This window comes from Homo sapiens, chromosome 1, assembly GCF_000001405.40.
Source record: "Homo sapiens chromosome 1, GRCh38.p14 Primary Assembly".
Classification (NCBI taxonomy): domain Eukaryota; kingdom Metazoa; phylum Chordata; class Mammalia; order Primates; family Hominidae; genus Homo; species Homo sapiens.
Genome location: NC_000001.11, coordinates 153,470,798 through 153,488,893, shown reverse-complemented (window position 1 = coordinate 153,488,893; position 18,096 = coordinate 153,470,798). Strand labels below are relative to the sequence as shown.

General features: G+C 45.5%; 1 annotated feature.

The window, feature by feature from the left end:
• Nucleotides 4,245-4,839: an enhancer, noted in NCBI's record as "H3K4me1 hESC enhancer chr1:153456531-153457125 (GRCh37/hg19 assembly coordinates)". NCBI's record gives its function as "activates a minimal SCP1, AML or CMV promoter by ChIP-STARR-seq in naive H9 embryonic stem cells {active_cell/tissue: H9 hESC(naive)}" and the evidence as "EXISTENCE:reporter gene assay evidence [ECO:0000049][PMID:30033119]".

The following is an 18,096-nucleotide window of genomic DNA, read 5'->3' as shown; positions in this document are numbered from 1 at the left end:
TCCAGAGCTTTCTAATTTGTGTTTTTCATACTGTGTTCAAGCCCTTGTATGAGGAAGCCAGCCCTATCTGGATTTCCTTCCTAGTGACTCCAGGGCAAGCAGTAGTGCAGGAGACTCAGGGAGGAGGGTGCTGGAGGGCAGTGCCATCTACCCAGACAGATGTCGGCTTGGTCTCTCATTCCCAGTCATTAGCTCAGAGCTTTTGGTGTCCTGGGTGGTTAGCAGTTGGATAAGGGCAAAGACCCTTTTTTTTTTTTGTATTAAAAAAATGGATATATCATGGCTGACTCTGGGCATGCTGCCTATGAGTTAGTCCTGCTCCGCAAGGAGCAGTACTGGTCATTAAAGATTGCTGTCTAACACTACCAGCTCACCAAAGAATTAAAAAAGATTGATATATCCTAGTTGTACATATTTTTGGGGTACATGTAATGTTTTGATACAGGTATATAGTGTGTAATGATCCAATCAGGGTAATTGGAATATTCATAACCTCAAATACTTATCTTTTGTGTTAGAAACAGTACAATTCTTCTTTTCTAGCTATTTTCACATTTACAATAAATTATTGTTAATGTAATTTCCCTATTGTATTATCTAGTACTATCAAATACTAGAACTTAGTATCTAGAACTTATCAAATACTAGAACTTATTCCTTCTATATAACTGTATTCTGTATTCCTTCTATATAACCCTTTATATATTTCTTTTCATTCCCCTCTCCTTCTCCCCTTCCCAGCAATTGAATTCCCATTCAATTTCTTTTTATTCCCCTCTCCCTCTTCCCTTCCCAGCCTCTGGTAAGACTCCCATTCTCTAGATGAGATTTACTTGCTTCTTGCTCCATTTCAGAGACAGAGAAGAAGACAATGGCCTCAGTAAGATATACATAAGATGATCTTCTAGGCAGTAATACTAGTGACCATGGCAGAGAGAACTTGACTGGACTTGTGTTTCATGCAATGTAAGAAAAGCAGGCACAGCAAAAGAGAACCCACACTCCCCCACATCCCCTGCAATGTAACAAATAACATAAGGAATGCTTGATTACCCACCAGCTTAAGATAGAAACCATCACCAAAGACCTAAATGTAAGAGCGAAAACTATAAAACTCTTTAAAAACAGGGGAAAAGCTTAACAATGTTAGATTTGGCGATGAGTTCTTGGATAATGGTGGGAGGATTGCTTGAGCCTGGTAGGCAGAGGTTGCAGTGAGCTGAGATCCCACCACTGCAAAAAAAAAAAAAAGAGAAAAAGAAACAGAAACAGGGTCCCACTCTGCTGCCCAGGCTGGAGTGCAGTGGCAGGATCATGGCTCACCATAGCTTCAAACTCCTGGGCTCAGGTGATCCTCCCACCTCAGCTTCCCAAGTAACTGGGACCACAGGTGCACACCACCACACCTGGCTAAATATATTTATTTTTTTTTGTAGAGATGGAGTCTCACTATGTTGCCCAGGCTGGTTTCAAACTCCTGGGCTTAAGCGATCCTCCTGGCTCAGCTTCTCAAAATGCTAGGATGCCTGGCCCATTTTTAAGTTTTTTTTTTCTTTTTTTTTGAGATGGAGTTTCGCTCTTGTCACCCAGGCTGGTGTGCAATGGTGTGCTCTCGGTTCACTGCAACATCCGCCTGCCGGGTTTCAAGCTATTCTCCCATCTCAGCCTCCTGAGTAGCTGGGATTAAAGGCATGCGCCACTACACCAGGCTAATTTTTGTATTTTTAGTAGAGAGGGGGTTTCATCATGTTGGCCAGTCTGCTCTTGAACTCCTGACCTCATGTGATCTGCCTGCCTTGGCCTCCCAAAGTGCTGGGATTACAGGCATGAGCCACCATGCCCGGCCTAAATTTTTTTTTTTAATTAAGTTTTTAACTCTTTTTTTTTTTTGCATATTATGTGATGCAGAATGAAATCTAAATCTGTTTTTTATGTATATGGATACTTAATTATCCCAGTGTCACTTACTGACTCGGCTGTCATTTCCCACTGATTTGCAATCTCCCCACCCCGTGCCTCAGTGTCTCATGCAATGCCCACCTGTCTCACAGATCACGTTTCCATTTATGTACGGGCCTAATTCTAGGATGTCTGCTTTGTTCTGCTTTTCTATCTCTATGCCTTCACTTTCATGTCTTGGCGATCACTGCTTTACATAAGTCTTCTCTCTGGTAGGCCACATCCACCATCTCGTTCAACTTCAAAATTATCTAGGCTCTTCCAGATACATTTCAAAACTGGTGTATCTTGCTGGGTTGATTTCTAGATATTTCAATGGTTTGTTCTATAACAAATGGCATTGTTAACTTTTTTTACTAACTGTTGCTAGTATACAGGACTACAACTGACTTGTGTAGACCTAAACATTGCAGGTGCCGCGCTTGCGTCTGCTGAGTTTGAAGGAGGCAGATCATGGAGCTGCTAAGTGCCTCTGCTCTCTGAGGTGGCAAGGCAATGGCTGGAGGAACGGATGTCTGAGTGGCTACTTTTGGCTAGGAATGGCAATGCGAGGAAAGACAAAGAGGACAGGGAGAATGATGTAGCAGTGAGAGAACTGGAAAGGGAACTGGATGAGAGAGCTGGAGAGATTTTTGCGTTGAGGCAGGGGGTTTAGGGAGAGGAAATGTCTCTGGTGAAAATTTCTGGGAAGATTTCTGTACAGTGCTTTGGTTAAATCCTGTGGTTGAGTCCTTTAAAAAAACCTATAGCTACCTCTGTAGTCAGATTTGTGAATCCTTTGACTGTGACTACACACAAATCTAAGCCAAGTTGATGAGGTGAGGTGGCAGGGTGGTGGAGGGGAGAGTCCCAGTATGTTAATTGGATTAGACGTGGCACTGAGTAGCTCACCAGTAATTGTTGATTGGATGATCACATCCACATTAGGTCTTGGGCGGTTGCCAGAGACAGTCCTGGAGGGAGCTGCACTTAGTGGACAGGGTTTGTTAGACCTTGGCTTGGAAAATGGGGAGCTGGCTTACCTCTTCCTTTCCAGACCATTTCAGAATATCCAGAAGTAGCCTGTAAATATTTGGGTAATGTGAGGCAGTGATGCAAGGCCAGCAAGCAGGAAGCCCTAAACATATAATAATTCCTATTTTCTCCCTTGTGCTTCCTTGAGAGCCACTGCAGAGGAAACCAGAAGGATGGCCTTGGAGGAGGCTTGCTGTGGCAGGCATGATAGCTCTGGACCCACAGCAGATCTCACTGAGGCCACGGCTGCTGTTGGTTCCACCAGAGCCTTGGGAGTTGGAACTCAGGTCCAACCCCACATCAGAAGCCAAGTGGAACCCCTTTTAATTTCCAGCTTGGCAGCATTTTAAAGCTGTGCCCTGCTTTCCAACCTTCAATCCCTGAGGGGCTAGGATGGAGGTACACCATGGTCTCCTTCCCTCTGCACGCTCAAGACCCCCTGGGCTGGAAAGAGGTGGGGAGGCCCTCATGGGGCCCCCAGCCTTCACAGGGAGACTGAGGCTCGGCCTTGAATAAGCTGCCAGCTGAGCAGGGACACAGTTCTTCTTCTAAGGACCACCCAGGTGAGGGGAGAAAGCTCTGGCCCTCAGAGGGCATCTAGTCTCAGTTAGGAAAACACAGTCTCTGCTGAAAAGGAAGTTAAGGATTTTGAGATGGAAAGATCACCCTGGATTTTTGGGATGGACCTAAGATAGCTACAGAGGTCCCCGACAGGGAAAGAGGGAGCAGGGAGAGTCAGATATGGGAGTGTGATGGCAGAAGTAAAGGTCAGAGTGATGTCGTTGCCGGCTGGGGAGTCACAAGTTAAGAGATTGTCACCGAGTACCCCCATTTTCTAAGAGATGGTTTAATTCTTTTTAAAATTTATTTTCTCTTTTCCTTACCTCCTGCTCCCCACTTCTGATTTAACCCTTTAGAAATTCAGATATAGCTGTTGAAATCTCTTTCACCAGACACTCCATGCAGGGCAAGATGCAACCCCTTTGAATAGAATCTCTTTGAATGGAACCCCATGGAAACAACCTGGCCAGCAGATCTAGGGTGTTGCTCGAGGCAGCAGCTCTCTGAGATGGGAGTGGTGTGGGAGTTGAGTCAGGGGAAGAGCTCCCCAAGGGGGCAGAGTTTGGGATGGGGAGAGGGGGGATCAACAAGATGGAGATGGCTTGAGCAAGGCCTGAGTGGGAGAAGGAATGCAGAGGGGAGAGAGGCTGAGACGGAGCTGCACAGTGGCAGATTGCTCCAAGGTGAATTTAAGCAGTAAGATCACAAAATTTGCTTTGTGTTGGTGCCAGCGTCCATGTGCTAACCCTTCACTGGAACCCATCCCAATTAGGGCTGTGGCTATGGCAAGGCAGGTGTAGCTAAGTCCCTGGGCTGACAGCGGGGGCGTGGAGGGCAAGGTTCCTAATTCCCAGAGTGAGGAGGGTTTTAAGAAATGCCTAGGTCTGGTGGTGGTTCCCCTGGAGTCTTCCTTCCGTATAGGTATAGCAGAGCTGAGGAAGAGGCAAGGCAGCCCCCTTCGAAAATTATTTCTAAATCTGGTGTATCTTTTCTAGCGCCTTGCTCCCAGCAGGGTGCCAACTGATCACCACCAAGTGCCACCAGATAATAAAGGGCTGTTCACATTTTAATGACTTAATTCATTCAGCAGAAAGCCACTTGGATCTTCCTGTGGGGCAGGCCTTGTGCTGGCTGCCAGGTATGCAGCTGTGAAGAAGCAGGAGAGACTCTTTTACAGACACCCCTTCCATTTGGTTCTCCTGAGGAGTCCTTATTGCAGGGCCCATGGCCGTATCTGGGGGTTCAGAAAAGGTCTTCCTGCCAGATACCTAAAGCACAAGTTAGCTGGGGAGAAGGGAAGGCAAACGGGTGTGTGGAACAGCATGGGGCTGTGAGGGCGGAGCCAGAACCAGCCAGAGCAGGTGCAGCAGTGGGCAGGGAGGAGAGGCTGGAGCCCGGCAGGCAGGGGCCAGATGCCCCGGGCTTTGAGTGGCAGGGGATTTGTACTTTACTCAGACAGAAAGGGGAAGCCTCACCTGCTTTTTTACGTAGGGGAGTGGCAGGATGACCAGCTAGTCCTGGTTTGCTTGGAATGTTTGACCTGAAGGTTTTAGCACTGAAAGTCCTGTGTCTGGGAAACCCCTTAGTCCCAAGCAAAAAGATGGACTTGATTGATTAGATTAATGTTTTAAAAAGGTCATTCTGAGGGAAGAATGTATACTGGGATTGGAAAGGGGAAGAGAGGATAAGGGAGTACATTTAGGAGGCTGGGAAAGAGGAGTAGTACAAATAATAATATGATCTAATATTTATTGAAAGTTTACTATGTACCAGCCACTATTCTAGACACTTCACATTCATTATGCTATTTAATCTCCAAAACAATGCCACATTAGATACTATTTTTTTTTTTTTGAGATGGAGTCTTGCTCTGTCACCCAGGCTGGAGTGCAGTGGCACGAGCTTGGCTCACTGCAGCCTCTGCCTCCCAGGTTCAAGTGATCCTCCCACCTCAGCCTCCCGAGTAGCTGGGATTACAGGCACCTGCCACCACACCCAGCTAATTTTTGTATTTTTTTTTTTGTAGAGATGGGGTTTCACCATGTTGGCCAGGCTGGTCTTGAACTCCTGGCTTCAAGTGATTCGCATGCCTTGGCCTCCCAGAGTGCTGGGATTACATGCATAAGCCACCACGCCTGGCCTACATACTATTTTAATTTTAATTTTTTTCAAATGGGGAAAGGCTTAGAGAGGTGACATAATTTGTTTAAGGGTCAAACATCTCATGAATGGTAAAGCAGGATTTGAACCTGGAAATCTGACTTTGGTGCTGGACCCCACACTGAACTGCCATGGGAGTTTGTTGTGTCTGTGTGGATGAAGAGAAGACTGTTGGAAAGTCTGTATAAAAAGCAGGTGGACTCCATGTCTCCTTTCCCACCCTGCAGACAGGTGACTCTTATTTTGTGACCCGAGCTGACTGTAAATGAGGTCCCCAAAAGGAGCCAGGAGCAGAGATGCTACACTTAAACAAGGGAATTAGGTAAAAGTCTACATACTGAATTGTGAAAGGATCTTAGCCCTTCTTCCACTCACCTTCAAGAACATTACCAGCCAGGTTTATTACATCTCCAATAGGAGATTGGAAGATTCCTTTCTGGGAAAATTGACCATCTCAGTAAGGCCTCCATGAAACAACTCAGCCAGATTACACTGGAATGAAGATCACGGGTAGACAAATCTTGTCCTTTTAGACAGAGCTTCTTGATAATTTTTAATGCCTCATTCTTAAAAGGAACAGATAGGCTGTGTGCAGTGGCATGTGCCACTCAGCTACTCAGGAGTCTGAGGTGGGAGGAATAGCCATTGCATTCCAGCCTGGGCAACATAGTGAGACCCCATCTCTATAATTAAAAAAAGAAACATTTAAAAATGGAGCAGATAAGCCAAGAATCACCAGATATTTAAGGAAGACCTTATATAGGAGAGACAAAGAACTCCCCCGACCATAAATAGATAAAAGGAACTTGGAAAAAATTGAGTCAATGAAGGTAATAGAAAAAAATGTAAAAGATCAATATCTTCAGAGAACTAAGAGAATATATTGAATCTATGAAACAGGAAGACTTTTTTTTTTTTGAGACGGAGTTTCACTCTTGTTGCCCAGCTGGAGTGCAATGGTGCGATCTCGGTTCACTGCAACCTCCGCCTCCTGGGTTTAAGCGATTCTCCTGCCTTAGCCTCCTGAGTAGCTGGGATTACAGACACCCACCACCACGTCCAGCTAATTTTTGTGTTTTTAGTAGAAACGGGGTTTCACCATGTTGGCCAGGCTGGTCTCGAACTCCTGACCTCAGGTGATCTGCCCACCTTGGCCTCCCAAAGTGCTGGGATTACAGGTGTGAGCCACTGTGCCTGGCCAGGAAGAAATTTTAAAAGGAATTTTTAGAAAAGAAAAAGATCTTTGAAATTATAAAATAGATTTGCTTCTGTGTTTCCCCCCGTTGTTGGCAGAAATAAACATTCAATGTAAGTGTTAAAAGATAAAGTTGAACAGAAAGAATTAAAAAAATATGGAGGCTGGGCATAGTGGCTCAAGCCTGTAATCCCAGCACTTTGGGAGGCTGAGGAGGTCGAATCACTTGAAATCAGAAGTTTGAGACCAGCCTGACCAGCATGGTGAAACCCCATCTCTACTAAAAATATAAAAATTAGCTGGGTGTGGTGGCACATACCTGTAATCCCAGCTACTTGGGAGGCTGAGGCAGGAGAATCATTTAAACCTGGAGGCAGAGTTTGCAGTGAGCCGAGATTGTGTCACTGCTCTCCAGCCTCAGTGACAGAGGGAGACTCCGCCTAAAAAAAAAATATGGAAAATAGGACAGAAAAGAAATGAATGTTAGAGAATCAAGTCCAGGAGTGAAGAGTGAACCAAGACAATGGAGACAAAGAAATTATCAAAGGCATGGTAAAAGAAAACTACGTTTTCATGTAAAAGAATCCCTTATTGCCTAGCACAATGGATAAAAAAAAAAGATTCTTAGCAAGGCATGTAATTATGAAATTTTAGAACACCCTGACAAAAAACAGATTCTTTCCAGCTGGATGAAACAGAATACAGTTCCAGAAACTAGAAGAAAATCATGTGATGTCTCTAAACTTCTGAAGGAAGGTAATTTGTAATCTAGATTTCTATGTCCATTTACAGTCTAGGTTTCTATACCCAGACAAATTGTCAATTATAAGAGCAGCAAAAATATTTCCAGACATGCAAGGTCTTAACGTTACTTCCTAAGAATGCTTTCTCAGGAAGTTATTGGAGAATGTGCTCTTCCAAAACAGGGGATTAAGCCAAGAAAGAGGAAGGCATAAGGTCCAGGCAGTAGGTGATGCCACATGGGAGAAAGGCAAAAGGAAATCCTAGGATGAGGGAGCAGTTTAGAGCCAAGAAGATGGTCCTGGGGCCGATCTAGAGATAAATCAGTCCAAATTGGAGTAGAATTGTGGGGAACTCCAGGAGAGACATCTCCAAGTAACAAAAAGGTTATAGATCATCTAACGTGTTTAACTGAATTGAAAGGAAATTTACTATGTAGTGGGGAGTTTGGGGAGGGTTAATGACAGGAAAAGAGAAAACTAAACAAATGAAAAAAAGATCAATTATTAACTTCTTAGAAAATTTAAAAGTTGCACAAGAAAGAAAATACACTCAAAGCAGACTGCATTGTTAATCTGTGAATAGTACTTACATGATCATAATACTCTGTACCCTAATTCTGTTCTAACCAAAAACAATCATGTAACTATACTGGAGGAATTTTGCAGGGAGGGGAAGTATGTGCATATTTGTGTGTATATGTATTGCCAAAGAACCAAATTTTTGTTTTCCATTGTAGGATGTCATTGTAGGATGTCATTAACAACTAGTATAAAAAACAGAAAAAAAATCAAATAGCAATACAAATCGATTATTTAGAAATACAGAGGTAAATACAGGAAGAAATGCATAAAGGGGAGGAAAGTGGTTGCCTCAGGGGTGGGGACTTGAGGGTGGGGAGGACTCAATTGGGGAGCACTGATTAACCTTGGAGAACTGTTTGACTTTAAAATTATGTACATATATGACTTGATTAAAATCAATTCTGGAGGGACCCATGGGTCTGGGAAAAACTTAGGAGACAGGAGAGGAGTGGGGTGGGACTAGGTTTGGAGTGGCAGGGCTGGGGCTGGGAACTGGGCTGGAGCTAGAGGATATACAAGAAGTGCAGGAGGAGGGAGTGGGGAGTGGGGAGCTTCAGATCACACTAGCCAACCTAAAAATCACTCACATAAATGTATCAGGAGGGGTCTAGAACTGTGCTTGCCACATAATAGGTGCTTAGTAAATATTTGTTGGGTAAATGAACAAATGATTGCATCCTTACAGATGCTGCAGAAGTCCTCTCCAGTTAGACTGGGATACCCTTGTCTTCTCTGTCTGAATAAAGATTTGCTTAGAGAGGAGATCTATTCATTAAGTAGTATTTTATTTAAAACTTACTATGTTCCAGGAACCATTCCAGAGATTGAGGATAGAGCAATGACAAAACAGGTAGAAATTCCTGCCCATGTGGTGTTATGTTTTCAGGGAAGAAGCTGACAATTAACTAGGCACATACACACATTTGACATTGTTCCAAAACACATTATGATATTAACTCGCTTAATCTGCACAACATGATGGGAAGATACTATTACTTTTCCTGATTTACAGATGATGAAACAGAGTCACAGAGAGGGTAAGTAACTTTCTCAAGATCACACAGCTAATAAACACGTGGCTGGAGCTGAACTGGGACACCTGGGCTCCAGGGCGAAGGCTCTCTTGACCACCATGCTATGCTGCTTTTGCAAGCTCACTCTCCTTCCCAAAAAGGAGAATGGGGGGGAGTTTCTAAAGACAAATCAGGCACAGACTCTGCCCTGCCATGGCTTGCATCAGGGAGAGGGCCTGTCCACCAACTGGTGGAAGCAAAGTGAGAATGGCTGGGCAGGGAGGGGGAATTGCTGGGCCAGTCAGCTGGTCACTCTAGAGTCTCTGGGGGCCTGGATCCATAGCAGGGAGACACAGATGTGCACACACCTCTTGCTACAAATCAAACACTGACCTTTGGTCCTGCTTCTCCACAGCGCTGGGGGAAATGAGCATATGCATTTAAAACAAAAAAAAGCCAATCTTAGGCAAGATTTGTATTGATAAAAGTTTGTCTTTTTGGATGAGGGCAAGAAGTCAATGGCAGATGTTGATGTCAGCAGTATTTCCAGGGTGGAGTTTGGTGTGGAGACAAGCATAACTTATTATTTTTATTGTTTTTGCCCCCAGCTGCTTTAAGGTTTGAGCTGAATGCCTGGAGTTCATGCTGATGAGTGGGCTGGAGACTAGGGAGGAGGAAGGGGCTCAGACTTGAGCCAGGGACTCCATGTCCCCTCTGCTGAGAACCATCTGGGAAGTCGAGTTCACCTGAAGGCTGAGCTCTAGCCTCAGGGACATTTGGGAGTCAGGGTGCCTCCTTCCCACTGTGCAGTTGACATTCATCTTTTAATCTGGTGGCTGTCACACCCTGTGAAGCTGAAACTGCAGTGCCACCACCCACTTCTATAAACTGAGGTGTGCCTGGTGAGAGATTTGGGCTTCTAAGTCACAGGATTTAACTCAGTGTCTCCTGCCAGCAAACCTGAATCTGCCAACAATCATAATACAAATCCCCCTACATTGATATAGCACTTTCTACCTCTCCCCGGGCTTTCACATCTGTTATCTCTGTGAAATAGTAATTCCTTTCTCCTCTGACAGATGAGAAGACACAGACTTCTCAGACAAAGGAAATACAGGTTTTGCCCAGGGTCACAAAGGGAGTTAGAACCTTGCACTCTTGGCTCGGGGGCCTTGTGTTAGCCCCAGTCCCACCCCTCCATGCCCGGGGCCTTTACTGCACCTCGCAAACATGTTCTCCGTGAGCTCCTGCTGTGGCTGCCCTGGGAGCCTGCTGCCTAGCTGGTGGGGGAGGCTTCTGCAGAGCATGATTCCAGGGCCATGAGATGCCAAGGAGAGAGAGCTAACAAAGTGCTGTGGTGTTCCGGAGTGGAGGGAGATTCTACTTTCTTGAGCTAGTCAAGGAAGGCTTCACAGAGGAGGTGACTTTTGAGTAGGGCCTTGAAGAAGGGTTAGGAATTTTCTAGGCAGAGAAGATATGAAAGGGGATGCCAGACCGAGGGTGTGGTGTAGTCAAAACCTTGGACAAAATCAGCAAGAGTTTGAGGACTGGAAAAAGGGGTTGTGGGCCCTGCCACTTTTTGGGGGGACTTCCTTTCAGAAAAATAATTAAAAATCAGCGGTGCAAAACTAAACATGGAAGTGAATATTCATTTAGAATGAGAAAAGAGTTATAGCAAATTATGAATTTCAGAAAGTTGAGAAATACCACAAACATTGCCAAAGCTAAGAAAATGACAATATTTTTATTAATTGGGTGATACAGCTATAGTTTTTATTTTTCTATGTTTTCCTGGCTCTGTGATTTTGCTTCACGTGATGACCATTTTGTAAAATCATTTTCTACATGAGACTAGAAAGACAATTCAGTCTTTCATATTATTGATTGAATTCCTACTGATAATTTAGAAAGGTTTTTGTTTTTAGCTTCACATCTTTATACATAATGCTATGTAAATTTTTAGGATTATTGGCCAACTTGGGAAAACCTCTATCAAGTTTTTTTTTTTTCCACATATGAGCCATAAGATTTCAGGGCATCTCAAGTTTTTATAAAACTTAATCTTCTTTGCTTTTTTGAGATAGGGTCTCACTCTGTTGCCCAGGTGGGGGTGTGATCATCATGGCTCACTGCAGCCTTGACTCACTGGGCTCCAGGGATCCTCCCACCTCAGCCTCCTGAGTAGCTGGGACCTCAGGTGTGTGCCACCACACTTGGCTATTTTTTTTGTATTTTTAGTAGACATGGGGTTTCACCGTGTTGCCCAGGCTGGTCTTAAACTCCTGGTCTCAAGTGATCTGTCCACCTTGGCCTCCCACAGTGCTGGGATTACAGGCTTGTGCCACTGCACCTGGCCAAAACTTAATCTTAAATAGTTTAAAATTGAAGATGTTCTATATTGGTTTACTGTGAATGGGCCTCTGGCAGTGACTTCCTCCATAATCCAAGAGAATCATTATTATTTCTGTTTGAAATTTACCTCTTTTTATTTTTAAAATTTTATTTGGAGACATGGTATCACTCTGTCATCCAGGCTGGAGTGCAGTGGTGAGATCACAGCTCACTGCAACTTAAAACGCCTGGGCTCAACTGATCCTCCTGTCTCTGCTTCCCAAGTAGCTGGGACTACAGGTGTGTGCCACCATGCTCAGCTAATTTTAAAATACTTTGTAGAGATGGGGTCTTGCTATGTTACCCAGGCTGGTCTCAAACTTGAGGCCTCAAGTGATTCTTTCACCTTGGCCTCCCAAAGCCCTGGGATTCCACGTGTGAGCCACCATACCTGGCCAAGATGCTATATCTTGATGTTAAACTCTAGGAGAGCAAATTCTTTCCAGAGTGGCCTGTGGACTGAAAGAATATGAGGTCCAGGGCTCTGCAGCCTGCCGAGGTTCCACTCACTGCTGCCCTGGGCCCTGAAGTCCACACAACTGCCTGGGTTGAGGTCTCTGGGCTTGTGCCTGTCAGACCCCAGCAGACTCTGCTCTGAAAGTACATGCCTGTCTGCTCTCTGGACAGTGGGATCCTCCGTAGCAGGCCCTGGTGTGACAAAGCAGGGACTCCTTAGGATAGCAGAGGGTTAAGAGCCAGGTTTAGTAGTCATGCTGGCCTGGGTTTGAATTTTGGTTATGCATCTACCCACTGGGTGACCTGTCCATGTTATGTAAACATTATTTTTTTTCTTTTGAGACGGAGTCTTGCTCTGTCGCCCAGGCTGGAGTGCAGTGGCATGATCTCGGCTCACTGCAACCTCTTCCTCCCAGGTGCCTGCCACCACGCCCGGCTAATTTTTTGTAGAGACTGTGTCTCACTGTGTTAGCCAGGATGGTCTCGATCTCCTGACCTCGTGATCCGCCCGCCTTGGCCTCCCAAAGTGCTGGGATTACAGGTGTGAGCCACCGCGCCCGGCAATGTAAACATTCTAAGTCTCAGTTTCTTTACCTGTATGATGGAACGATGTATTTACCTAACATGATTTTCCTGCAGATTAAATAAAGGGATATGTGTAAATCACACATTGTATTTGCCTGGCACAGAGTGTTGAACGATTGGTAGTTGTTAATAGCTATTATTTTTGAATTACCGGAAAGGGAACCAGTGGAGACCATATTTCCATCCCCGGATGCACAGTGGAGTTTTTGTGGGGCTCAGCAAACTTCTCTTCATTGTTCCAACCCAATATATCCTGTTACGCTGCCTCAGCCTTGGGGATTGGGGCGGATCAGAAGGCTCAGAAGGCACAGGGTTCTGGTGCATTAATGAGCTCTGGGGCCATGCTGGAAGTAGCTGAGCGTGGGCACCGGGCCTGGAGGTTGGTGGAACACTGGTGCTGGGCCAGTTCTTGGTCCCAGAGAAGCACCTCTTCCTTACCAACATGTCCTTCTCTTCAATGAATCATTACAGGGTTCAGGTCAGCCTCTGTGATTCCAGGTGTGGTGGCTCACACCTGTAATCCCAGGGCTTGGGAGGCCAATGCGAAAGGATCACTTGAGGGCAGGAGTTTGAGGCCAGCCTGAGTAACATAGCAAGACCCCATCTCTACAAAGTATTTTAAAAATAGCTGAGCGTGGTGGTGCACACAAGTATACAGCCCATGTGCTATTCCTGAAGAGCAGGAGAAACTGCCTTTAACAGTTATCAGCCTGATCCAGTTCACCAGCTCGGCCACCAACTAGACTATGTGACCTTGGGATGAGTCATTCTCTGTGCCCCAGTGTCCTTCCTTCTCTGGTCAGTTGCATATCCTAGACCCAATCTTTTTTTTTTTTTTTTAAAGTTAAGGTCTTTGATTTGGTTGATTGAGAGGGAGCAGGAGTAGACAACTCACAACAGTGGCTAATCTGAGGACCTTCTGACCCCTCCATCAGATCAAGTTTGGCATGCATTTCTTCTGATTTATAGCCTGGAAGTAACTGGGGGCTACAACCTCTGCTTACTTGCTTACTGCTTACAATATATATATATTTTTTATGTTCCTGGGATATTTATTCCTGTTTACACTTACACTCATCAGCAAGAGGTGGTCAGTAAGTGCTGGTTTTGTTAAAGTGGAGGCCGCACCAGAGTGTGATCTATGGACAGCATGAGCCATCATGCTGTTTTGTGTGCACGTGTGTGTGTGTCTGTGTATGTGTGCATATGCATATGTGTGTAGGAGAGAAGGTCCAGTACTCTGAGGGGGCCTGTCCAGAGTGAATCAGTTATATTCTTTAGGATGGTTGTCCTGCCAAAGACATCAGACTCCAGCCCTGACCCTCCAGGCTGTTGGGAAGAGTTTGCTGCTAAGTCTTGGAGTTGAGGCAGAGAAGACATGCAGTGTTTGGCTGGGGAGTCTTGCAACAAATGTGGTGCTCCTTTGTTGTTCATCACAGGATCTTCCGATAACCAGCAGACCCCCAGGGCCAGGCAGGCTCCTGTACCACACATGGAAGCTCAGTTCTCTCCCGTCTCTGTGCATCACAATCTAGTTCTATTTTAGCACAGCCCTCACACGTATTACACCCTCCTTCCCTTAGAGCCTTTCCAACACATCTTATCATCCATCAGCTTCCTTCTTCCCTGACAGACCCATACACAAGGTCTGTTTTGTCACAGACCTTCTGACAAAACACACCACTTATTATTTTTTTCCAGCAGCCCTTTGAAAACAAAGATGAGTAATACCCATGCCGAGAAGTCTGTGATGCCATGATTGATCTATTTCACAATAACATCCAAGAAGATGATACACTAGATAAGTCAGGTCTGTCAAAGGTGAGGAAGGAGAATTCCCTACAGTCTGTGTGGGTTTTGTGAGTGGAGGTCTTGTTGGGTCTGAGGCTGGGAGAGGTGTCAGGAGAGGAAGAATCCTTGGGCCTTGGTGTGGCTGAAAATGCAGGTAAGATGAGAGGCTCTGCCAGAAGGGCTCTGGTGGGCTGATCCTGGACTTGGTCCTCCCTCTATCATTAACCTCCCTCAGAGTGGTATCATGTTGATCAGATAGGATGAGCAAGGGGTGATTGCTACTCTAGAGATCTTGGTAAGGCATGTACACTTTGAAAATTCAGGGACTCTACTACATCAGTGAGGTTTCTGGTCAGAGGTGGCCTGGAATAGCCCACCCAGAATAAAAGACAAATTGCTGCATCTTGCATGCCCTATCACGAAGAAGGAAGCACATGGATCTCACAGCATTCTGGAGGCAACATGTTCCACACCTAGGAATACTGCTCGGTGCATGAACTGGGTAGCATAGAAGGATGCCAGGTCTGGTGGGGCCAGGAGTGGGAAAGGGCTCTGCAGCAGGTCCAGATCATAGCGCACAGAGCCATCCAGTTGGGTCATATGATTTGGTATACCCTATGATGTTGGAGGGGTCGATGGTGGTAAAAATATACTAAGGAGTTTATGGAAAGCCCCATTGGGAGAATTACAATGCAGGTCCCTGGGATTCTGGAGCAAGGCCATGCCATCCACAGCAGGGAAGTATCTGATTTTTTAGGAAACAGGCCCTGGCATATTATTGGACCCTGCTTTGATCCTGGGGCATCAAGTGATCATGCGTCTGAAACTGTCCACTGTGAGCTGGCCTCTGTTGGACCTACTGAGTTATAAAATGGGCCCAACAGCAGGCCATCATAAAACAGAAATGGCATCTTTGGAGTTGAGCCTGAGCACAGCTGGAGGGCATGAGTAAGCTGCATGGGGATGCAGCCTAGAACACCATGTCATCTGCCAGGGTTCCATCATGTCTCTTCCCCAACCCAAGCCTATAGCTATGTGTGATTTCTCATATGATAGGCTGAAGGAACAGAAGAAGGCCTGAGCTTGGTCTGTGAATGGTCAACTTGGTACATGAGTGAAAGCCAGAAGTGGACAGCAGCTGGATTATAGCCACGTTTAAATGTGACTTTGAAGACAGTCAGAGGTACCTTGCTCACATGTAGGTACATGGGAATGGGAACACATGTGAGCAAGGGACCTTGTCATCCACTTTGGAAGGAGAACTGGCCTGAGGTGAGAATATATACAGATTCTTTGCAGCAGCCAATGACCTGGCCATGTAGTCAGAGGGCTGAGTGGAAAAGGATCAGAAGATAAGAGACAGGGAGGTTGGGGTAGAGGCATGTAGTTGAACATATGGGGGTGGGGACAGAGCATGAAGATCTTTTTTATTACAGTTTATCACCCACCGTAAAGCATAAGGGAGAGGCACTGAACAGTCAAGTAGACAATTTGGCCAGTTGACATTAGATATTTTTGTCATTGGCCACCCCAGAACTGGCTCAATGGGCGCATGACTGGAGTGCTCTAATGGAGTGCCATAATGGCAGACATGGAAGTTACAAGTGAATCCAAGAACATGGACTTCCCTTTACCAAGGCTGACCTAGCTGCTGTCTATCAGGGGAACCCCCCCAATATTTCAACATAGGTTCTTTCAATTTTCCATAAGTGTCAGCCAGCTAAGAAATAAAGAGAAAGAGTACCAAGAGAGGAATTTTACAGCTGGGCCTCCGGGGGTGACATCACATATCGGTAGGACTGTGATGCCCACCTGAGCCGCAAAACCAGCGAGTTTTATTAAGGATTTCAAAAGAGGAGGGGGTGCAAGAACAGGGAGTAAGTCACAAGATCACATACTTCAAAGGGCAAAAAGGAGAACAAAGATCACAGGCTTCTGAGGAAACAGGACAAAAGGCAAAAGAGAACTACTGATAAGCGTCCAACAAAGATCACAATGCAAAGGGCAAAAGCAAAGATCACAAGGCAAAGGGCAAAAGCAAAATTACTGATAAGGTTCTATGTTCAGTGGTGCACGTATCGTCTTGATAGACATCTCAAACAATAGAAAACAGGGTTCGAGAGCAGAGGACCAGTCTGACCTCAAATTTACCAGGGAGCAGTTTTTTCCCCATCCTAATAAGCCTGAGGGTACTGCAGGAGACCAGGGCTTATTTCAGTCCTTATCTCAACTGCATAAGACAGACACTCCCAGAGTGGCCGTTTATAGACCTCCCCCCAGGAATGCATTCCTTCCCCAGGGTATTAATTATTAATATTCCTTGCTGGGAATAGAATTTAGTGATATCTTCCCTACTTGCAGGTCCGTTTATAGGCTCTCTGCAAGAAGAAAAATATGGCTCTTTTTGTCCAATCCCACAGGCAGTCAGACCTTACGGTTATCTTCCCTTGTTCCCTAAAATCGCTGTTATTCTGTTCTTTTCAAGGTGCACTGATTTCATATTGTTCAATCAATATTTACATGTTTTATGATTAATTTGTACAGTTAACACAATTATCATAGTGGCCCTGAGGTGACATACATCCTCAGCTTACGAAGCTAACAGGATTAAGAGATTAAAGTAAGACAGATGTAAGAAATTATGACAGTATTATTTGGGAACTGGTAAGTGTCCACGAAATCTTCACAATTTATGTTCCTCTGCCGTGGCTCCAGCTGGTCCCTCCATTCGGGGTCCCTGACTTCCTGCAACAGCTGTCGCCTCTGAATATCCAACCTGTCAGCAGCAGAGACCAATGCTGAGCTCCAGCTATGGAACTATTTCTCACTGAGATCAACCAGCCACTTGGAGCCAAATGTGCTACACTGGGCACCTTTTATACAGAAACGGCCAATGGTTTGTTCTCACAGGTGTGGATTTTCCCTTCCTGTCGGCATAGCCTTGGCCAGCACCACTATCTAGGGGCTTACAGAATGCCTATCCACAGGCATGGAATGCACCCAGGGGACTCAGTTTTATAGGGAAGTGGGTGTGGGATGGATCCAGATCATGGTGGTATCACACACCACATCCCCCAGAAGCAGCTGGCCTCACAGAGCCCTGGAACCACCTCAAAAGGCACAGCTGAAGCACCTGCTCAGAGGCAACACTTTGCAAGGCTGAGGTTCTATCCTTCAGGAAGCAGTAGATACATTAACTATTTCCTTTCCTTCCTGAAGACTCATGGTTGGCCCCACTTACAATCACTTCAGGGACCCACCTGGGGAGTTTGTAGTTTTTATCCCCACAACTCTTGGTTCTGAAAGGTTGAAGATCTTTGTCCCCAGAGGAGGCACATTCTTGCCAGGGGACACAACAAGGCTGCATTGAACTACAAGCTACAGCTGCTACCAGGGCACCAACAGGGTAGAGGAGGTCAACAGGGGACCAACTGGGGAAAGGGGACCAACAGGGCAGAAGATGAGTCAATCTTGGGGCAGGAATAATTGATGTTGATCCACAGGAGATAGGGCTGCTGTTACACAATGGAGGCAGGGAGGAATATGTGTAGAACCCAAGTGATTCACTTGGCCACTTCCTGTTACTCCCTTGCCCCATTGTAACTGTGAATAGATAAGTGCAGAAACTCTGGTCTGAGAATGAGAT